The sequence below is a fragment of the Homo sapiens genome, chromosome 3, assembly GCF_000001405.40.
Source record: "Homo sapiens chromosome 3, GRCh38.p14 Primary Assembly".
Lineage (NCBI taxonomy): Eukaryota > Metazoa > Chordata > Mammalia > Primates > Hominidae > Homo > Homo sapiens.
This window is the reverse complement of record NC_000003.12, coordinates 127,537,097-127,559,920: the sequence shown is the minus strand read 5'-3', so window position 1 is coordinate 127,559,920 and position 22,824 is coordinate 127,537,097. Positions and strand designations below refer to the sequence as shown.

The 22,824-nt window shown below is 52.0% G+C and overlaps 2 long non-coding RNA genes across 8 annotated transcripts in view, besides 1 other annotated feature; one reads left to right on the top strand and one right to left on the bottom strand.

Moving 5' to 3' along the window:
- Positions 1 to 3,043: 3,043 nt before the first annotated feature.
- LINC02034 (long intergenic non-protein coding RNA 2034) lies at positions 3,044 to 22,718 on the bottom strand. Of its 7 annotated transcripts, none has more exons than XR_007096066.1 (7): positions 22,485 to 22,572; positions 21,838 to 21,954; positions 21,412 to 21,569; positions 20,208 to 20,454; positions 19,467 to 19,636; positions 16,398 to 16,537; positions 3,044 to 5,020 (listed from the first exon to the last, which is right to left on the bottom strand). It is a non-coding gene; the product is annotated as a long intergenic non-protein coding RNA 2034 (long non-coding RNA). The 7 variants fall into 7 exon arrangements; XR_007096067.1 differs by having other exon boundaries at positions 19,480 to 19,636; XR_007096068.1 differs by lacking the exon at positions 3,044 to 5,020 and adding an exon at positions 11,425 to 11,481.
- Positions 11,678 to 11,997: a silencer, noted in NCBI's record as "silent region_14687". NCBI's record gives its function as "represses an Ori minimal core promoter by ATAC-STARR-seq in GM12878 lymphoblastoid cells {active_cell/tissue: GM12878}" and the evidence as "EXISTENCE:reporter gene assay evidence [ECO:0000049][PMID:35858748]".
- LINC01471 (long intergenic non-protein coding RNA 1471) overlaps positions 22,141 to 22,824 on the top strand; it is a 40,180-nt gene continuing 39,496 nt past the window's right edge. Inside the window, exon 1 of the long non-coding RNA NR_125397.1 lies at positions 22,141 to 22,248. This is a non-coding gene — a long non-coding RNA (long intergenic non-protein coding RNA 1471). The remainder of the gene's footprint in view (positions 22,249 to 22,824) is intronic.

Genomic DNA, 22,824 nt, shown 5'->3' with positions numbered 1-22,824 from the left:
ATTTTGTTAAAGGAATGGATGGATGAATGAATTGGTGGGTGCTGTAGGGTGGGGAATGCTGAAGGATGGGAGGCTATATCTGATGTTTGACAGTGAAATCAAGCAGCACAGTCCCGATAGCTGGGGGTGTGTGGCTGGGGCTCAGGGCTGAGGCCACTGAGATGGCTCCCAGGGAAGACAGATTCTGATCCAGGACCAGGAATGCCAACCCGGGGCAGCTTGAGATAGGCCACACTGATGGCTAGAAGGGCCAATGCTCTGACCAGGGCTGGCTGGTCAGAGCATTCCATCCTGAACGTGCCTGGCCTGATTAGATGTTCCAGCTGGCAATGCCTGAGGGTATAGTGCATCCTCAGGAAGTGCTAGAGCTCTGGGGCAGGTGGGCATAGGTAAGGGGCCTGGGGTAGGAAAGGGGAGTGTTCTCTTCCTGATCTCCCATGTCAAGTATCATATAAAGGGACTCTGGGGACCATTCCCTTCCAGTCCCCAGCAGAGTCTGGTCAAAGGGGTGTGATGGCTGTGTTGTAGTATTTGTGGTTTGGATGGCCATATAATTTATTGTTCAAATCACCAGCACACCTTTTTGGGGTAACATTTAAGATATATTTTAAAAATAATTTCAGATGTACAGAAAAGGCACAAAGATATTACAAATAACTTTTTTTTTTTTGAGACAGAGTCTTGCCCTGTTGCCCAGGCTGGAGTGCAGCAGCATGATCTCGGCTCACTGCAACCTCCACCTCCTGGGTTTAAGCAATGCTCCTGTCTCAGCCTCCCAAGTAGTAGCTGGGATTACAGGCACCTGCCACCATGCCTGGCTAATTTTTGTATTTTTTTAGTGGAGACGGAGTTTCACCATATTTGTCAGGCTCGTCTTGAACTCCTGACCTCAGGTGATCCACCCACCCTGGCCTCCCAAAGTGCTGGGATTACAGGGGTGAGCCACTGCGCCTGGCCTACAAAAAACTTTTATCTCCTGGACCATCTGAGAGTTGCTGACATGATGCCCAACACCCTGAAGCCTTTAGTGTGTTTTTCCCTCTAACAGACCATTCTCTGCAACACAGCCATCCAAATCAGGAAAGTAGCACTGAGAGGACACCAGCATCTGATCCCCAGACCCCACTGAGGTTTTGCCAATTGTAGAATATCCTTCGAACAAAAGGATCCAGTTCAGGACCACACGGTGCCCTGAGTTATCCCATCTCCTGAATCTCCTTTAGTTAGGAACATTGTTCAGTCTTTCCTTGACATTCATCAATTGGATGCCTTTGAATGTTATCCTCCAGCATTTTTTGTTTTTTTGAGATGGAGTCTTCCTCTGTTGCCCAGGCTGGAGTGCAGTGGTACAATCTCGGTTCACTGCAACCTCTGACTCCCTGGTTCAAGCGATTCTCCTGCCTCAGCCTCTCGAGTAGCTGGGATTATAGGCACTCGCCACCACGCCCAGCTAATTTTTGTATTTTTGGTAGAGACTGGGTTTCACCAAGTTGGCCAGGATGGTCTCGATCTTCTGACCTCGTGATCCACCAGCCTCGGCCTCCCAAAGTGCTGGGATTACAGGCATGAGTCACCACGCCCGGCCTCCTCCAGCATTTTTAAAAAAATAGAATGCCCCTCAATTTGGGTTTGTCTGCTGCTTCCTAATGATTAGATCAGGTTTTGTGTTTTCAGAGGGATGGCACAGAAGGGATGTTGCGTTCTCCTCACTGCACCCCATTGGGGTCCACAGTGGCAGTTCGTCTTATCACTTGATTATGGAAGGAGCCTTCTTCCCTGTAAATGTGGGAAATGTGCTCTTCCCCTTTGCGAGTAACATGCCTCTGTGGGGAGGCAGTGCTTTGAGCCCAGGTGCATCCTCTCTTCTCCCTCCACCTTCCATTTGCCAGTTTTTTTTTTTTTAAATTGAGATGGAGTCTTGCTCTGTCGTCCAGGCTAGAGTACAGTGACACGATCTCAGCTCATCACTGCAACCTCCGCCTCCTGGGTTCAAGCAATTCTCTTGTCTCAGCCTCCCGAATAACTGGAATTACAGGCATGTGCCACCATGCCTGGCTAATTTTTCTACTGTAGTAGAGATGGGGTTTCACCATGTTGGCCAGGCTGGTCTCGAACTCCTGACCTCAAGTGATCCACCCGCCTTGGCCTCTCAAAGTGCTTGGATTACAGGCATGAGCCACTGTGCCTGGCCCTTACTTGCCAGTTTTAGTATCCTTTGATTCTTGCCTGAAACAATTGTTCCCCAAGTGGCGGCCAAATAATGACTTTCAGATCACATACTCCACCCCTTCCACATTTACCAGTTAGCTTCCACTGTTAGGAAGAGCATTCTCTTCTCCCCATGCATTCATTTATTTTAAAATTTATTTACATTTATTTTTATTTATCATTCAGAGGAAAACAGGGACATTTTTGAGAGTGGAAGGGGCAATAGGTACATATTCAGGGATGATAGGTATAAACCAGGACTGTCCCCAGAAAACTGGGAGGTGCGTTGACCTGTGACACCCCTCACCCCCACTCCAGCCGGCTTCTGGGTAAGGAAAGCGGCTCTGCTACCACTCCAAAGGGGATGCCTGCCTGCCCAGTTCCAGGAGCCAGGCCTTGGAAATTCTCCTGACACCCCCTACTCTCTCATCCCCATATCCATTCTGTCACCAAGTCCTGTGCATTTTACTTCCAAAATGTAGCTTCGATCTACCTGTTCCTTCCCACCTCCACCAGCCTGGTCCACGCTGCCATTCCCTCTCCTCTAGGCCAACACTGTCATTTCTATTCTGCCCCATCCTATTCCATTTGCACACTCAGTCACAGAGACCTTTGAAACACACAGATCTATTCGGTGGCTCAGCCCCCTCCCTCGGCTCCCCTCTGGCATGGCCCCCATGTGCTCCTCCCCTCCCTCCCCATCTACGCCCCAGCACCCCAGGCCCTGGAGCCCTCAAACTCCCAGGTTTCCAACCCTAACCTGCCAGCCATTGAAGCTTACAGATTCTTTGTAGTTATACATTTTTATAGTTACAAAATCATTTTTTCACAACCATTCAAAAACGTGCAACAGTTGAAATTTTATTGGAAGGTAACTTTGGCACCACTGTCACCTTTCAGATTCAGTCACAGCAGCTGTGCCCAGTCGACATCCCACCTGCCACCAGAGGGCTCTCTGTAGTGCCACAGGTGGTCCTCATCCACTACTGCCTGCCCGGCCGCTTCTCATCAGTGGTGACTGTCAGGAACCCAAAGGACTGACCCCTGAAAAACATTCCTGATCCCGGACTGTGCTTAGTCAGCTCAAGCATGAAACCTGGTACATTGGTATAAAAAAATTTATGCTTGTAAGGCTGGTTGCGGTGGCTCACACCTGTAATCCCAGCACTTTGGGAGGCCAAGGCAGGCAGATCAGGGTGGGTCCCGGTTAGGTTGGAAGTTTGAGACCAGCCTGGCCAATATGGTGAAACTCCGCCTCTACTAAAAATACAAAGGTTATCCAGGCATGGTGTTGTGCGCCTTTAATCCCAGTTATTCAAAAGGCTGAGGCACGAGAATCACTTGAACCCGGGAGGCGGAGGTTGCAGTAAGCCGAGATCACACCACTGCACTCCAGCCTGGGTGATAGAACGAGACTCTGTATCAAAATAAAAAAAAAGAAAAAAAAAAGTTATGCTTGTAGAAGCCAACTCAAGATTAATTTACATATTTAAAAATATTTTCCTTGGAAATTTAATACACATCCAATATCGATTATCTTCTTTAAGTACTTTGTATCTTATTCTTCCTGTCAAGCTTTGCACTATAAAGGTGATGTCATGCTTTTCTGCCATGCCTCATGCAGGTGGCACCTCCTTCCTCACCCCCACGTCTTTTCCAGGTGAGCCGCGATGCGCAAAAGGTTGGGATGCCTGGCACAGGATGCCAGCTAGTCGATGTCTTTAGAATGCCCCTGCTGTCTCTCCCGGGGCTAAATCCTATTCCACCGTGAGCCTTCCTTGACCAGCAGAGAATAGAAGCGCCTGGTACATACAGGCCACCAAAGGTATCTGTTGAACAGACATGCACACGGCTTCTGCCGTGGGCCAGGAGGGCCCACTCAGGAGCCTGGGTACTTTCCCTCCATAGGCCATGTATTCCTGTGAACAGATGAATAGGGCAGATGCTGCTTTTATCCCTATTTTACAGGTGATAAAGCTGAGGCTCAGAGGGGCTTAGAGACTTGGCTAAGCTCAACAAGCTGCTGGGAAGTAGTAGAGCTGTGATTCAAATCCAGGCATTCTGGCTCCAGGACCATGCCCTTAGCTGCTGTCTCTTCATGCGCCAACCTTTGTGATGCTGTATTTGTTTGTAGTATATGACTATTGTGACCTCTGTGGGGGCACTTAGCACAAGGCCTGGTCCTTGGTAGGTGCTCAATACATATTGTTTAAATGAATGAATGAAAGCAATTATTGTTCCTTTAGATGATCAAAATTTCCACTCCACCCTAAGTTCCCCTTTCATGGAATGAAGGGATACGAGGCTAGGGAAAGTCAGCTTGGGACACTGATGGATTCTCAGAGGGCAGAGCTTGGCCTTCTTGGCCTGCCAGTGGGCAGAGAGACCCTCCCTACCCGAGGGGGCCAGGGAAGGCTTTGCTATGGCAGCGACATTGAGATAGGGTTTTGAAGGATGAGTGGGAGTTCACTGAATCTCAGAAGTGCAGCCTGATGGAATCTGGGGTTGGAAGCAGCACATGTAGTGAAGGGTCAGTCTCATCTTCAAACGACCTCCCCATCATTTAGGCTGGAGGTACAAAGCAGGACTATAGGAACATATACAGATGGCTGTGAACCCGTGACATGGCCAAAGGTTTCCTCTCATCCCTTTTGCTGAATCATTTAGTGCTGTTCAAAGACAAGGCGGTTAAGCCTTGTTCCCTTCGATGTCTCTCACTTGGAATGGATGCTTCTGGCTGCCAGCTGCTCTCCTCCTCTGTGGCTGGAAGCATTTTGGGTTTCTGGGGGTCTTCTCTGAGACTGCAGTTATCCTAGGCATGAAGCAAACATGAGCATCACTGTCTGCTGACCTCTTAACTGTGGGCTGCAGATGAGCAGATGGGGCAGGGGCACAGGGAGCAGGGTGTGGCTCCAGAGAGGAGCTGGAGATCTGGGTAGGGTGGGGACAGGTGGGTGGCCTGCGACACAGGCTAGCTGGCAAGCACCACAGTCCCATGGCCACAGGAAGGACATGTGATGTCAGCTGGCACAATCTGGGGACCAGAACCAGGAGACAGATATCAATTCTGAACGGACTTCTTTCAACACCTGGATCCACCTAGCCCCAGAGTCCTGCACTTCACAATGACTCAAAATCCTCCTGTGCTGTGAAGCCAATTTAGGACGGGTTTCTGACTCTGGCTACAGGAGGTTCCAGGGCAGAGGAGAGTTGGCTTGGTTCAGGGACCAGAGTGAGGCCTGCAACCTCTCCCATGGTTGTGCCCAGAGGAAGAAAGACCATGCAGGCTCAGAAACACTCCCGGATGTCCCTGGCTACTATGCAGAGGAGGGGCAGAGCTGAGTAGTTTTAGAGACTAAGGTTGAAGAGAAAGCACACATGCATTCCCTTTATGCAAAAACACATGACAGATTTGCACTGGGACCTGCAGGAACCACAGGCTCAGGCCCACAGACACAAGACAGAAGAGCACACACACACACACACACACACACACACACACACACACTTCAAATGGTTTAAACTTGTGCTGCAAAAAAAGTACACGCCCTTTGACCTAAAAATTCCGTTTCTGGGAAGCTATTCTTAGGAGAGAACTAAGGATGTGTACCAAGACTCAGATGCAAGGAATATCCCTGCAGTGCTGTTTGTAATAATAAAAAGCTGGCAACAATCTAGATTCTAATAAGGGGTGCTGAAGTCCGCTGTCGTTGGAGGGCACAGTGGCATGCTATTCAGCCCTCAAGAGGAAGTACGGAGCTGTTTACACAGAAGATGAGTGTCATTTATTGTTGAGTGCAACAAAAAGCAGCTTGAAAAATAATCTGAATGGTATGAGCCCATTTGGGTAAGATAGAAGTCAGAAGCAGCTTGGAAGAGGGGCTGAAAAATTTGCTCGGTTGCGGGGGTAATCATGGTTGTTTCTGGTTGCTTTTTTCTTTTTTTTTTTTCAGACACAGGTCTCGCTCTGTTGCCCAGGCTGGAGTGTAGCAGTGTGATCATAGCTCACTGCAGCCTCGACCTCCCAGGCCCAAGCAATCTTCCCACCTCAGCCTCTGGAGTAACTGGGACTACAAGTGTGTGCCACCATGCCTGGCTAATTTTTTAAATATTTTGTAGAGATGGGGTCTTACTATGTTGTCCAAGCTGTCCTTGAACTCCTGGCCTCAAGCAGTCCTCCCACCTCGACCTCCCAAAGTGTTGGGATTATTGGAGTGAGCCACTGTGCCTGGCTTCTAGTTGCTTTTGAGTCGGTGGGATTGTGGCATTCTTTCTTTTCCTGTAAGGGAATCAAGAATTGCTTTCTGGGGCCAGGCACAGTGGCTCATGCCTGTAATCTCAGCACTTTGGGAGGCTGAGGCTGGCGGATCACTTGAGGGGAGTTTGAGACCAGCCTGGCCAACATGGCGAAACCCCGTCTCTACTAAAAATACAAAAAATTAGCTGGGCATGGTGGTGTGCACTCGTAGTCCCAGCTACTCAGGAGGCTGAGGCAAGAGAATCACTTGAACCTGGGAGGTGGAGGTTGCAGTGAGCCAAGATTGCACCATTGCACTCCTGAACTCCAGCCTGGACCACAGAGTGAGACTCTATCTCAAAAAAAAAAAAAAAAAATTGCTTTCTGGGTAGGAAAAAAAGGGAAGGGAAAGGAAGGGAAGGGATTGATTTTGAAAGGAATAGGAATTCTATACACATATACCTCCATATATACAAACTTGAAGTATGGATAAAGATTGAGATTGCTATGTGGGTTATAAAAGCATGAGGTTGGAAGTAACTTATATGTCTAGCAATAGGGGATTGATTAAGAAATCAAAGTACAGTCTTTCAATGGAATTGCTATGCAACTGTTCCAAAGATTGAGGAATGTCTAGATAAGCTCTGGTTAGTAAGAGTCTCCGAGATGTATTGTCAAAACCACCACCACCACCAACAGCAGCATAATGTTTATAGTATGTAATCATTTGCATAGAAACAATTTTATGCACATGTAAACATAAACTGTCTCTGGAAGGACCCATAGGAAACCGATAGCGGTGTTTGTCCCTGGGGAAGGGAACTGGTGGTCTGGAATCAGCGCTGGGGGAAGAGGGGCTCATTGTAGATGTAAACCTGTTTAAATCTTGAATGAAAATTTTTTTTTGCATTATTTGCATGTGTTTTTCCTTTGAAAGCCTAAATTAAAAATGAAGAAAAGGAAAGCACAGACATGCTTAGGTAAGCACATGGCTGAGACGTCCAAACATGCTGGCAGAACAGCTGCTCATCCCCAAACACAAACAACACCCTGCACCCTCATACCTATGGGCATGTCAACAGAGATTCAAGCAAGTCCTTCAGGGAGTCAGGCCTCACACATGGCTGGGGGTGGTGGAGTAGGGGGTATGGGGGCAGCTGGGAGCAGTGGCAGTTCTGTGCTCTGCCTCTTTAATTCCCTCTGGCTGAAATGCCAATTTTCTGCTAGGCTGGTCTGGCTGCTGCAGAATCACTTCTGTTAACAAACTGCACCGAAGAGCTGAGCAATTAGGCAATTAAACTGTTTTAAATTGAATTTAGAGCTCTGATATTTCTCTGGGAAGATGGCCTCCTGGCTTCACCTCTGCCCTGGATGGTGGATGGGAGAGGAGAGGGCTAAAGTGCAGGGCTTGTAACAGTGGCTGTGTGGGGGCTGCTCTGAGATGGACTCGTAGATCTATGGCCCAGGGAATGCAGCCTCTCCTGGCTCACTGCTATGTGCTACAGTGTGCAGATTCTTCATTCATTCATTCATTCATTCATTCATTCATTCACGTATTTATGGGATACCCATTATGTGCCAGGACTGTTCTGGGCACTGGGATCTAGCGATAGCGGTGAATGGAATAGAGCCCTTGTCCTCTGGAGTTTATATTCTACTAAGGGAAACAGATGACAAACAAAGAAACAAAGAAGCAAGACGATTCCAGATTGAAATGGGAATGAGAAAGGGAATGGCGGGGAGACATGTTAGCAAGAGTAGTGGGTGAAGGCCTCTCTATGGAGGTTACATTCCTGCTAAGAAGCTGAAGCCTGGGGAGATGCAGGCATAATAAGAGCTTTCCAGGCAGAGGGGACAGCAAGGGCAAAGGCCCTGGGGTATGTCCAGGCTGGGCTGATGTGCATAAGACCAAAGATTAAAATGGAGAAGAGTTAGGGGAGATCAGCGGGGCCTCCGTGTGTGCTAGCACCGCCCCTGTGAAGTTCACAACAGTCTAACAAAAGGGGACCTGTGGATCCATATTGACTCAGAGAGGAAGGGACCTGAATCGCTCAGCAGGGGCAACTGCAGTAGCCAGGACTGCTCAGAATGAAGAATAGCCCCAGGTGCCCCAGCCACGTGCCCACATGGCTTTCCCTGGTGGAGCAATTAGATGGGCTCCCAGGACAGAGCCGGGGCAGGCAGGCCCGTTGCCACTGAGTGTGAGGAGGGGCTTTTGACCCAAACATCTGACCATGGAATGCCCTCCCTGTAAGGAGGTGAGCTTCCTATTCTGGGAGGAATTTGAGCATAGGCTGGGCAACCAGTCGAGAGGGTTTCATAGAGGAAATCCCTGCTTTGAACAGTGTTGGGCTGCAACGGTGTTTTCCAGCTGCTGGCCATGGGGACTTGCTGGGGGTGTGCTCACCCTGTGTGATGCTGGGCAGGCCACCTCACTGCTCTGCAGCTCAGCTTCCTCAGCCATAAAGTGGAGCTGGTGATGGTACCCACAGAGAGCGTGCTAGGTGACTTAATGCAGCCAACACCCTCGGAACGCTGTCGGGGGAGCTGCTGTGTTATTATAACAGCCATGGGCTTTCACCCACTTGCTTTTCATCTCTTTTTCTTTTGATTTGAAAATCTCAAAGCACGCATATGGTAAAAAACAAAAACAAAAACCAACCAACCATCCAAAAGGATCAGCAGTCAAAGGTGAGTCTCTCTCCAACCCCTGGCCCCACGTTCCCCCTGGAGGCCATCACTGCCAGCACTTGAGTGGGGGATTGTAATCCTTCCAGAGATATTCCACACGTAAGGAAATGCCTTTCCCACACAAACTGTAGCATTCTATATATATCCTTCTGTATTTGGCTTCTTTCCTCACTCCTTGTCAGAGCCATGTACATTGATTTAAAAAATTTTAAATTTCTGAATAGGAAATATATTCTCACGGGGCTTAAAAAGTTACAGTGATGTATATTGAGAATTCTTTCTCTCCTTCCTGTTCCTGACCACCCCATGCCCCAGACAGGTGACCACTTGTACTGATTTCTTATGGATCCTTTTAATGTTTCTTTACACAAACATATACAAATAGACATTCTTATTTCTCCACCCCATTCCTACACAAAAGCCTTATACTGTGTGCGTGGTTCTGCATGTTTGTTTTTCTGCTAACATCTACTAGCATGGCCCAGGGAATGCAGCCTCTCTTGGCTCGTCCCTAAGTGTTAGAGTGTGCAGATTCTTCATTCATTCATTCATTCATTCATTCATTCATTCATGTATTTATTGGACATCCATTATGTGCCAGGACTGTTCTGGGCCCTGGGATCTAGCGGTAGTGGTGAGTCTCACAGCAATGTGGAAGGACCTGTTTCCCAACAGCATGTGGAATTTTCCTATCAGCCCACGGAGCCTCCTCACTGTCTTCAACAACTGTGCGGTATTCCACTGTGTGCCCAAAGCAGAGTTTGTCTAACCAGCTCCTAGATGGGTTGTTTCCAATATTTTCATGATTACAAACGGCAGCAGTGCCTCCCGTGGTGGAACTGTGAGGACGCATCATTTCGTGGTGCCCAGGATGTTTGCAAGACCCATGCTCAGAGGTAGGGTTGCAGGGTCACATGGTAAATATGACAGCCCTTTCTATGGACAGCTTCCCCTCCAGAGGGTGTTCCCTTGACTCTCATGGCAATGTGGAAGGACCTGTTACACACACACACACACACACACACACACACACACGCTGTCGGCAGCACTAGAATTCTTTGCTGTTCTGATAGGTGAGAAATGGTAACTTGATGTCATTAATTTCCATTTCTGTTATCATGTGTGGAGTTGGACATTTGTCATACATTTAGGGGCCTTTTGAGTTTTCTGTAAACTGTCTATTCAAGTTTTCTGCCAATTTTCGGGGGGGTTGTCTTTTCTAGATTTCTAGAAGCTTTTAATGTATTAGGTTAGACCAGGGATTGGCAAACTGTTGCCTGTGGGATAAATTGGGCCCACTGCCTTTTAAATTTTTTTGTAAATAAAATTCTACTGGAACAGAGCTGCACTCACTGTCTGTGGTTGCCTTCTGCCACCACAGCAGAGCTGAACAGTTGCCACAGATACCCTCATGGTCTGCAAAGCTGAAAGTACTCACTACACAGCCCTTTACACAAACAGCCTGCTGACCCTGTGCTAGACTTTTGTAATGAGTTTCAAACATTTTCCCCAGTTTCTCATTTGTCTTTTGACTTTTCCTTTTTCTTTAAGTGCATTTTTAGCTTAAAGATAGTTTCTGGTCGGGCACGCTGTCTCACTCCTGTAATCCTAGCACTTTGGGAGGCCGAGGTGGGTGGATCACGAGGTCAGGAGCTCGAGACCATCTTGGTCAACATGGTGAAATCCCGTCTCTACTAAAATACAAAAAATTAGCCAGGTGTGGTTAGCTGGGCATGGTGGCATATGCCTGTAGTTCCAGCTACTTGGGAGGCTGAGGCAGGGGAATTGCTTGAACCTGGGAGGTGGAGGTTGCAGTGAGCTGAGATCGTGCCACTGCACTCCAGCCTGGGTACAGAGCAAGACTCCATCTCAAAAAAAAAAAAAAAGTTTCTTGGACATCTTTTGATAGGGCTAAAGCTTGACTTCTGGAGGGTCTTGCTTCTCAAAAACCACCCTTTTTATATGCCAGCCTCTGAGGTTCACTGTCGCTTGTGTGTCTGGTTTTTTTTTTTTTTTTTTTTTTTTTTTTAAACAGGGTCTTGCTCTGCTGCCCCGGCTGGAGCGCAGTGGTGTGATCACGGCTCACTGCAGCCTCGACCTCCTGTGCTCAAGCGATCCTCCCGATCCTCCCGCCTCAGCCTCCTCAGTAGCTGGAACTACAGGTGTGCGCCACCAAGTCAGGCTAATTTTTAAAAATTTTTTGTAGAGATGGGGTTTCCCTGTGTTACCCAGGCTGGTCTCGAACTTCTGGGCTCAAGTGATCCGCCCTTCTTGGCTTCCCAAAGTGGTGGAAATACAGGCATGAGCCACCGTGACCGGCCTGTTGCTTGAACTTCATTCCAGTGCTAAAAGGAAATGCATGAAAAGACAGACTTAAACCAAAACTATGTAGACATTGATGGAGAATTTGGCACTTGGATACTTGGATTCTTACTGCTGAGATTTCAATGGTTTGAGACGTGAAGATTGAAGCTGGGGATATGATGATGCCCGTGTTACAGATGAGGACACTGAGGCTCAGACAGTCGTGCAGCCTGCTGGCCTGCGGGGACGGGGACAGCGCTGCGGGACGGCGCCTGGCGCTGGGTCGGCCACTCCCAGCTGGTGACCTTGGCCACTCCCAGCTGGTGATCTTGGCTGTGAAGCGAGATCCAGAGAGGGGAGGGGCCCCAAGGACCCAGCCGAGTGCGGGCAGGGCGGAGCTGAGCGTGGGTCCCAAGGGAGTCCCCGACGTTCTGCGGCCCCCCCAACGCCCGGCCTCTGGAGGCCGTAGGGGCTCCCTGGCCTCTCGCCCCCAGTGCAGCCCGGGCACAGTGCAGTCGCTCCGCGCCATGCTTGACGTGGGCACCAGGGGGCGGTGCGGCACCAGGCATGGCGGCGCGCGGGGCCGGGCTCCGGAAGGGGAGGGGGGCGGAGGGGAGGGGAGGGGAGGGTAGGGAAAGGGACGGGAGGACAGCAAGGGGAGGGGAGAGGAAGGAGAAAGAGGGGAGGAGAGGGGAGGTGAGGGGAGAGTAAAAGAAAGGGGAAGGCAGCGAGAGGAGGGGAGAGGAGGGGTTGGAGTAGGAGGGGAGGGGAAGGAAGAGGAGGGGAGGGAAAGGAGGAGGAGGGGAAGAGGAGGGGGCGCCTCCGGACTGCCGCAGGCCCCTCTCAGTTGCGCCTTTCGGAGGGGCTGGGCAGCGCCTGCCCTGCTGCCCAGCCCCGGGCTGTGCGTCTGCTCTGAGCTGCGCCAACACCGCCTGGCTTACTCCCCTACCCCTCCCCCGGACCCAGTCCTTGCCCCAGCTCCGTCCCTCCTCCCTTGACCCCTCCTGAGTACCCCAGCTTATGTCCCCTCTCCAGCACCCAGTCCGTGTCTCACCTCCAGACCCCAGCTCGCACCCCCAGCCTCAGACCGCACCCATTGACCACAGCCTGTGCCCCTCCCTCCCCAGTCGCACCACCTTCCCAACCCCAATCCTTCCCTCCTGAGTTCCCCTCCGAGCTTCATTTTCTTGCCTGGAGCTGTTTGGAGCCAGACTCTCAGGGTTTGAGCTGAGCCTGCCGCTGGCCTTGGTGTGGAATGGAAAGCCCACCACCGAGCTGGCTTCAAACCCTCCAGGGCTCCTGTCACCTTAAAATAGAATCCCCATGAATGCCCTGCCGCCCAGCTGACACCGCGGCTCCCCTCTCCCCTCCTCTCCTCTTGCAGCGGGCACAACAGCCTTCCTGCTATCCACAAGGCCTCAGGGTTGTGCCTGCCTCCTGCCCCAGCACGTGTGGCTCCCTTGCCTGGAAAGCCCTTCCCTGGCAATGCCCCTCAACCTCTCCTGATGGCCCAAAATTCTCTCTCCCCCCGATGGACCAAGTAGTCCCAATTCCTCCCTGGATGTTTCTGTTCCACTCCCCTATTTATTCCTTCCTTTTTCCCCCTAGAACTTCAGGGCAGCACCCTCCCAGTCTCTGTCTCCACGGGACCTCCCTCCAGCACTGACAGGGCTGCCTGGCACATGGCAGGGACTCAGTGACATGGGAGTGGAGGGTGACCTCAGTCTGGGACTATACCACTCGGCCAAGTGGACTCTGGATGAGGAGGCCTAGAGCCTGGCCTTCTCTGGGACGCTGGCCTGTTGGTCGTGACCTTGGCCTAAGCCCTTGGGGAGGGGACACGGGTCAGCTCACAACTCCCTGCTCTTGCTCACATTTGCTGAGCACTTGCTCTGTGCTAAGGGCTTTTCTTGAATCATCTCCTGGAATCTCATAATAATCCCAATAATGCGTCTCCTTTTTTGGATGAAGAAGCCAAGCTTCAGAGAGATTAAGCTACCTGCCCAAGGTTACATAGCTAAAAGTGGAGGCTGAGTTTGAACCCAGAGAGACAAGCTGCTCCTCTCCTGAGACAATGGGTACGTGAGCCGAGAAGCCCCCATGAACTTCACAGTGATTCTGTCAGTGAACAGTTGGGGAAACTGAGGCCTGCTGCCCAAGTGTCACAGCTAAATGGAGGCAGAGCTGGGGCTCCGAGCCCCAAGGTGAAGGGAAGAATGTGCTTCTTCACAGCATGTCTCCAGAAGCCCCAGGAGTGACTAGCTGGCCGGCCCCGAACCCCACTGGCCTCAGTTTCCCCTTGGAGGATAGCCCCATCCATGGTCTCTGGCTCTTAGGGTCTCTGAATTCATTCACATCTTGAAAGTTGCAGTTGGGAGTCTCAGGTCTGGTGGCAGGAAACTGAGGAGACAGTCGTGGAATCGGGGTGGGGAGTGGTGCGGGAGGATTGTTTGTTCCCTCAGAGACTCTCTAGTGTATGTGTCCCTTGTCAGCTAAGCAAGACGGGCTCACCACAGCAGGTGGGCTCAAGCCCACCTCAAGCAGAGGTGGCCCAGGTGGCAAACTCAGGTGCTGGGGGAGCAGGGCAGGACACCAGAGGGGCATGGGATTCGGAGAGTGGGGGCTGTGACCTCTGGTTTGAAGGGGCATCTGCAGACAACCCCGTGCAGAGCCAGGGCTCACACTGCCATAGCCAGTGCCACAGACTGTTGAAGAGATGCCGAAAGCCAAAACATCTTCGACGTGAAGGCTCCCAATGTTGTAGAGTTGGCAACGGATTCAAATTTTCAAAGCTATACAGGTAAAACAAACTAGTTCTAAGGGCTGAATTCAGCTGGAATGGCTGTTTCTGCTCAAATCCAGCTCTGCTTCTTGTTCGGAACCTCAGTTTCCTGATCCATTAAATAAGCCTAACAGTTCCTCCTGGTGGAGGATCATGTGGGCCAATAAGTAATAATAAAGCGGCTGTGCACAGACGAGTGGTATCATTAGTCCCCACCACAGCAGAGGGAGCGGCTCCAGCAGGCTTGAAGCAGCCTCCTCCGAGCGCACATGGTGTAAAATATAGATTATTCCTGCCACAGACACAGGCCCTGCCTGAGAGGCACCCGCTGAAATCCTGACCTCCCCCTTCTCCGGTGCTGGTCCTTAAACAGCCCCCATTCCTACTGGTCTCTTGGCCTTTGCACTTGCAGTCCCCTCCTCTGGGAGCACCTCCCCAGACTGTGGTGTGGCTGGCTCCATTTTTCCATTCAGGCCTCAGCTTAAATGTTACCTCCTCGGAGAAGCACTTGCTCGGTCGCTCCACCCTGCTTAACTCTGCCTCCTGCATGATGCTTTGGATCTCTGCCTTCCTCATGATGCTTCGGATCCCTGCCTGCCTAGGACCGTGGGTCTCCCCGCCCAAGTGTGTGCGCCATCTGTGCAGCCCTTCCTCTTCCTGCTCACCCAGACCCCAGCTCAGGGCCCTGATTCACATGATGGGTTCTCAAGGAATGAATGAATGGATGGATGGATGGGCTGGCTGGGATTGGGGCTGTTCTCCTTTCCAGGGGATCCAATTAGAGGAAAGTCCCTGAGTGCAGCAGCTGCCCAGCCCTCCCCAGCAGGCAGACAAAGTCCATCTGGAGGCTTTGTTTAAAAATGCTGAAATCAGGCCGCTCAGCTGTACTACCACGGTAGACACAGCCCTCCTGAGGGGTGCAGGCCTGTCTTGCCCAGTTTTGCTGGGCTCTGCAAAAAGAAGTGTGGATTTAGGACTGGTAGATCTTCTGGCTGAGAGACCCTGGGGCCCTGCTCTTCCATGGAGGCTGTGAGGGTTGGAAATTGCCCAAGGTCACAGTGAGGTTGGGACCAGGGCTGAGGGAACAGTGGGGCAGGGACAGGCTCAGCACACAGTGGCAGTGTGAGGGTCTGGGTGGGAGGGGGCACAGGGCCTTCTGTCCTCTTTGTGGTGAGGTGACAGATGGCTGATTGAGCCCTCCTCCTGCCTTAGCTGGGGCCACAGCCCTCCCAGGGCTGTCTCTCCAGGCCACCTTGCACATGGCCACCAGAGGGCGATGTCTTAAACAAAATTGCTCCCGCTTACAATCCTGCAGTGGCTGCCCGGCCTCAGGACAGTTGAGCCTCCAGCCAGGTGCGTGAGGCCGCTCGGTGCCCCAGACCTTGCCCCGCTGCACAAGGGCCAGCATGCCGCTGCCTCCGACCTTCGCCCTGTGCCTCATCTTTGCCCAGCATCCCTCCAGGACTGGGTTCACAGGTGGCCATGGTCCACAACCCTTCCCTGGCCTGCCCCCACCCCAGGCAGGTCAGAAGCTCTGGAGCCCTGCTGTCCCTGTGCTCTGGGCAGGGGTTCAGGCTGGAGGAGGAGGGACAGAAGGATGGGAGACTCTTGGAAGAGCGGCTTCCTCCTTGGTTGTGTGGCTGAGGCTGCGTATTTGATGTTTAAGAGGAGTGTTACCACAAAGCTACTCTCATCAATGCTGCCACACTCCCTGCCCACCTAGTCAAAAAGACAAAGTGAATGTAGGATGAATGAACAAATGAGTGAATGAGCACATTCTGCCCCGTCTCTTCTCTTTCCCTCACGCCTCACATCCGGCCTGTGAGGAAACCCTGCCACCTCCACCTCCAAAATACACCCAGAATCTGACCTCCCGCTCCGGCTCTGTTCCCACCGTGGTGTGGGCCACCCGCCCCACCACTCCTGAGCTGTTGCCGCAGCCTCCTTGCTGGCCTTGCTGCTTCTGCTCCTGCCCCATAGCAGCCAGAGGGACCCCCCTCCTAAACCCAAAGTCAGGTCCCGTCCCTCCCTCCTCTGTTCCACGCACTCCATGACCTGCTCAGAGGAAACAGTCCAACAATGGCCTAGAGGCCTGCACGGAGTGCCGGGGACCTCTCTGCCTCATGGTCCCCTCTCCTGGTGCACAGTCCGCTTCCACCACACCCAGCTCCTTACCAGCCCCGGAACATGCCAGTGACAGCCCTGGCCCTGGGTCTCTGCACATGCTGTTCCAGATGCTCTTCTCCCATCTTGCCCGCCCCTTCACTTCCTTTGGGTCTCTTGCCCAAGTCTCCAGGAGGCTTTCCCTGACTGCCCTGTGATAAAAGAAAAACTTTAGTTGAATTAAATTTAAAGAAGTTTAATTGAGCAATGAACGATTCAGGAATCGGGCAGCCCGCAGAATCACAGAAGAGTCACAGAGACTCCAGCGCAGATACATGGCGGAAGAAGATTTATAGACGAAAATAGGAAAATGACGTAAAGAAATCGGCATTCAGGTACAGAAACAGCTGGATTGGTTATAGGTTGGCGTTTGCCTTATTTGAACACAGTTTTTCCAATTTTGTCTACCTATTAAGTTAGGTTACAGTTCATCCACAAGGACTAACATATAGAAGTATGAAGTCCTTCTCAGGCCATTTTTAGTTTGCTTTAACACCTGTCATGCTCTACCTGTGGCTTTTCTCCTGGCTCTGTATTGTCGCCAGGCATGCTGTATTTCCTTCTGTCCGTGGCCAGCCTCCTCTGTTAGGTGGGAGCTCCGCCCTTTTCCCTGTTTCCAGGACAGTGCTCCACACGTGACAGATGCTCAGTGTTTGCTGGCTGGATGTGTCCGTGCCAGGTGGGGCAGAGGGGCCTGTGGGGCTGCCTCCTCCTGCCTGCATGTGTGGGGCAGGAGTGCTGGAGTCAGGCTGGGCCCCACTCCTGTGTCTCCTCTGGGTGTGTTTGGTGGTGGCCAAGCCCTGTGTTTGTTTAGGCAGCAGGCTTGCTCTGAGTTGGAAGGAGAGGTTGCGTGGTGCAGAGTGCCCGCGTTACTGGCCACCCTTGGTGACAGCCAGTGCCGCCGCCGTCCCTGAGTGTATGGAGTGGGCCTGTCACAATATTTGTTTAACAGGCGGCGGCACATTAAGCCAGGCAGCAAACACAGCACTGCCAAGGGGAAGCCTCCTGTGCCGCTGGGATCCTTTGCCATGCTAGTGACATGCTGCCCTTCTCCTGTGTCTGGCCTGACCGCCCGGGGCCCAGCCTGGCCAGGTTGCATGTGTCCCTCATGGTTCTGCCTCCTGGTTTCCTTCCAGCCCAGGGCCACCCATGCTCATCCCTGCCTTCCATCTTCTTGGGCCCTTTTGAACTTTTGGGCCCTGGCCCCCAAAGCCTGAAGTCAGCCCAGCTCTCCCAGAATCCCAGCTCCTGAATGCTGCAACAAGGACACCCTACCACGCAGAGCCCTCAGTCTCGGGGCCACCTGGTAGCCCCAGGCTTTCCGCCTCTCAGAGCAGGATGAGGGTGGGTAGGACCTGCTCTGGTCAGGGCTGTGGAAGGGCCAGGTGCTGGGACACAGGAATCCAGCTGTCTATTTGAACTTCTCTTGCTTGTCTGTCTGGCCCATCTATGTCTGAACATCTGTCTGACCACCTGGCTCCTCCCGTCTGTCTGCCTGTCCCCTCTGTCTATGTGCCTGCCTGTCTGTCTGCTTGGGTGTCCCCATGTACCAGACCCTGGGCTGGACCTGTACACAGACTTGCCCATGGAATACATCCAGCATCCCCATTTCACAGATGTGGTACATGAGGCCCAGCGTATCACAAGGTGCTGGGATCCACTGCTTACCCAATGCAGTCTTGGGGCCCCAACCTGCAGACCCCATCACACTGATGGCCGCTCTCTTCCCTTTCTCTGCACCTCACTGTGCTCCTGCCACCCCTCGCCCCATTGCCTTGCCCCCACCTGGAACCTTGTCCCTTCTCTGGGCTGCCCCCCTTAGTCGTGCCCCCAACCTGCAGAAGCTGCCTCACCCAGCCACTCCAGCCTGGTGTGACTCCCCCACCTCACACTCCCACAGCTCAGTGAGTCTGAAACACACAATTTAGCGCTTAATTATACACTCTGCTCACTAATTATTTTGTGCCTTATCTCCTCAACTCGCATGAGCTCCTCCAGGCAGAGCCAGCTCTTGCTCTGGCTCTGGGCTTGGCACAAACCTCCTTGTAGGCTACCTGGGCAGGGGGTGGCCACGCCCTTAGCCTGCAGCAGGGCTGAGAGCACCTAGTGGCCACAGGTATGGAAGGAAGGCAGCCTTTCCACTGGTGTTACTCGTATTTCTCTAGTTGTGGGGGCTCAGGGATAAGGCAGGATTCAACAATGCCCCATTCCCTTGCCCTCCTGGAGCACATGACTTCCCCCTTCAACAAATGAGTTCATCCTTACCAGTGCTAGGATGGAAACATCTGGAGGCTGGAACAGGGCCTGCCCACATCTGTACTTCCATCTTGACTGTGCTCATTTTCTCAAAGGCCACAGCCAAGCCAGCAGCTGGGCCTTTAGATGCTGCCTGCAAAATACCCCTGTTTTTTGTTTTTTGAGGTGGGGTCTCACTCTGTCGCCCAGGCTGGAATGCAGTGGTGTGAGCACGACTCTGCAGCCTCCAACTCCTGGGCCTAAGTGATCCTCCCACCTCAGCCTCCCAAGTAGCTGGGACCACAGGTGCACACCACTATTCTGGCTAATTTTTTTTTAATGTTTTGTAGAGACAGGGTCTCCCCATGTTGCCCAGACTGGTCTCAAACTCCTGGGCTCAAGCAATCCTCCTGCCTTGGCCTCCCAAAGTGCTGGGATCACAGGCATGAGCCACTGCATCTGGTCAATATGCCTATTTTGAATTATGCATGCCACCAGCTGCCCTACAGTGGCGTCACCTCTCACCCGGACCACAGCAGCAGCCTCCACATGGCCTCCTTGCCTTCCCCAGGCCACCAGACATCAAGTCTCTACCCAGGGAACAGAGGAAGCATCACCCCCACCCAAACCCTGTCCACACAGAACAAGCGTGCATCTATGCCACCTTATGAGGCCCCACATGCAGGGAGGGCCCCACTGTACTCCGACCCTCTCACACTGACAGCGGCTCTGGCCTCCCTGCTGTCCTGGAACATACCAAGCTCCCAGCTACCCTGGAGTTCTTTCCTGGAGAGAGAGAGAGATTGAGAGAGAGATTGAGAGAGAAGAGAGAGAGATTTATCTTACGGAATTGGCTCACACGACTGTGGAGGCTGAGAAACCCAGTCCGTCAGGTGGGCCCGGGGAAGAGTTGCCGTCATAGCTCAAGTCCGAAGGCCGTCTGCTGAAAGAATTCTCTCTTTGGCAGAGGTCAGTCTTGGTTCTATTGAGGCCTTTGACTGATCGGATGAGGCCACCTACATGATGGAGGGTAATCTGCTTTATTCAAGGTCCATTGGCTTAAATATTTTTTCTATCTAAAAAAATACATTTGTGGAAATGTCTAGACCAGAGTTTGACCAGAAACTGGGCAGTGTGGCCAGGCCAAGTTGATGTACAAGATGAGGCATCACAGAAGCCTTCCTAATTGGACAGCATCTGTGGGGGTGCTCGGACCCCCCCCCCGCTCCACCGCCCCATCCGCCGGGAGTCAGCACACCCAGCTGCAGAGAGCTGCCTCAACTGAGGTCGCTCCCCTCCCTATGAGCAACCGGTGCAGCTCCCCGGGGCCCTCTGAAGGGCCATCGATCTTCAGAATCTCTGCCTGCGTTGCTGGGGCTTCTGTTGTAGCTCATCACAGCTCCCCGCCAGCCCTGCCTTCTCTTGCCCTTTCTGTCCACAGTATCAACGCAAGAGCCCTCCCTAAGTAACGTCCTGCATGTTCACCTCCAACTCAGGGTCTCTTCCCAACCCTAGCCTGCGACGGGGCCACCTTCATAGCTGGCTTTCTTCTTCATTGTGTTCTGTATCTGACATTTCTTCTCTCACCTGGCTGGCTGTGCATCGTGGGTCTTCTGCCCTGGGACATGGGCTCCGTGGGGCAGTGCTGTGTCAGAGTACCCCTGCCATGCCCCTGGCACCTCTGTCACCTGCTACATGAAGGGACAGATAAACCGGCAGGTGTCTACTCTCAGGCTCTGGTCGAGATGCAGGCTGAACTTCTGGGATGCCTAGGGAAGCAGGACCCTTGGGCAGGACCCCGGTCACAGGACTTGGATCTGCAGCAGGCCTGCATCTACACACATGATAAAATGACATAGAATTCAACATGTGCATTGTATCAATGTCAATGTCCTGGCTTCAGTATTGAATAGCTACATAAGATGTTACCACTGGGGGAGACTGGATGAAGACATCAAAGGACTTCTTTATATTATCGTTGCAACTTCCTATACATCTGTGGTTATTTCAAAATTTAAAAATTAAGCAAATAAGGTTAGGATGCAAAATTATATTCTTTATTTTGATTGCATCCCTATGTATTCATAAGAATAATGATCAAGAGAGTCCAAAGAATTGTATTTAGAATTTTTTTAAGTTAATGGTGAAGGTATTGTTTTTGTTATTTATAATTTTATTCACCTTTCTAATAAATAATTATTGGGGGAAAAACTAGTTCCATGTGATATAAATATATATGAGAGTCTGTGAACACTCACTCATTCATTCTATAAATATTTATTGAGTGCAATAACAACAGAAAGCCTTGAACATCTTCAGCAATTTTCAGCAGTTTCCCGACCTGGGAGGCAACAGTAACATCCTACTTCCCTGAAAGCTGGCAGTAAACTCCAAGTCCCAACTTTTGATGTTCCAGCCCTTCCAATGGTTGTATAAACCCCTGACTCCCTGCCCTAAACCTTTTTCCATTGGGGGCCTCGTAAGGTGGCACCTAGCCCCACTAACACGGCATGTGTGTGTGTGTGTGCACCTGCACCTGCACCTGCACCTGCACAGGAGTCAGCTAGAAAGCACAAAGGCGAATGTGTCACTCCTGTGGCATGGGACCATGAATGGCCTCTGTTTGCCCTCTAGTTCTCTGGCTGGGAACTCAGAGATGTCCCTCCCTGTCCAATCTCATCTCCTGCCACTCCCCATACTTCCTCCCCAGCAGCTCCGCTCCAGGACATTGATAACTGTGAATAGAAGACAGTCGTTGGGAGATTTCACCGCAATCTGAATGACCACTCACTTTTTATCTCCACACAAGACTGTGAGCCCCTTGAGGATGGAGGCTCAGTTGCATTTTTCTTGGTACCACTAGAAATCAGCATTGAAGTTGGCAAAAAGTAGGGATCAGGGATTTTTTTTTTCTTAAATTCATGAGTGAACGCTGTCTCCCTGGTCAAACTGTTTTCAGAGGATTGAGATAAGGAGGCATTTGTCTGCAGGTTCCCATCTCCAGAGCAGAGGCTCTGCATGATGTCTTCAAAGCCAGATTGGATCCCTACCCCGGTCTGGAGTGTGAGCTAGAGCCTCGGCCCTCACCAGCATATGCTATAGCAAGGGCTCTGGGCAGGGAGGCATCAAACCCCAGGTGCTCAGGGGGACTCTGCTCCCCTCCATTTTTTCTAGAAATGTACCAGGACCCCTTCCCTGTGCTGGGTGCTAAGGATACAGCAGCAAACAAAATAGGCTGTCCCTCTGTCTTCACGGGCACAATATTCAGCCAGGCTCTTTGCCTCAGTGTCCCCAAGTGTTAATTGGAGACAGTAGCTCTTATATTGTGTGGTTGCTGCAAGGGTAAAATGAGTTAGAAGACATCAAGGGCTTAGAACGGTGCCTGGCACATAGTAAGTGCTAAATGAATCTGGCTATTATTAGATCATGGAGCTTATTATTAGATCACGGGTGAGTCAGAGGATAGACAATCAGGGAGTAACTAGGACCATCTTAGAGTGAGCTAAGTGCCTCAGGCGAGATAATGCAGAGGTGGGGGACAGAGTGGGTGGGGAGGGGAGCCGCCATACAGTGGCCAGGACCAGCTTTGCCCAAGTGGTGGCAACCGCATGACCACAGGAACGATGGCGTGAGCCCCGTGGCAACCTGGAGGAAGGGTGTGCTGGGCAGGGGAGGGCGGTGCAAAGACCCCAAGAAAGAGAGTCTGGCCCATTGGCCAGCACGGCTGGAGTGTGGGGACAGGGCAGGGGTGTGCGGGGGAGACTGGAGTCCCAGGAGAGGCCAGGTTGCAGGGCATTGAGGGCCAGAGGAGGCACCTGGGCCTGTTCCATTCCCAACCCTCAGGATGGCCCACCCATTACCCACAGCTGCACGTGAACGTCCTTTGGCGCTGGCCTCCAGGGTGGGGAAACCAGGTTCCTGCAGAGAGGGGCAGATCTGAGTGTCCCCCGCCCTCGCCTGGGTGCACTCAGGGTCAGGCCTGGTGCCCGCAGAGTCCATCCCATGCCTCATTACCCCCGGCTGGCTGAGGCCCACCCTGGGCTCCTGGTGGGTGGGGGCACTTCTGTGAGCTCCACCACTGTGTCTGTGAGCCCAACCCCGACCAGCCCCCTCCAGCTTCTGGGGCCTGCAAGGAGGAGGAAGGCCAGGGTAGAGGGAATGGAGAGAGACTGTTCCATGCAGAGGGGTGAGCCACCTTCTGCGG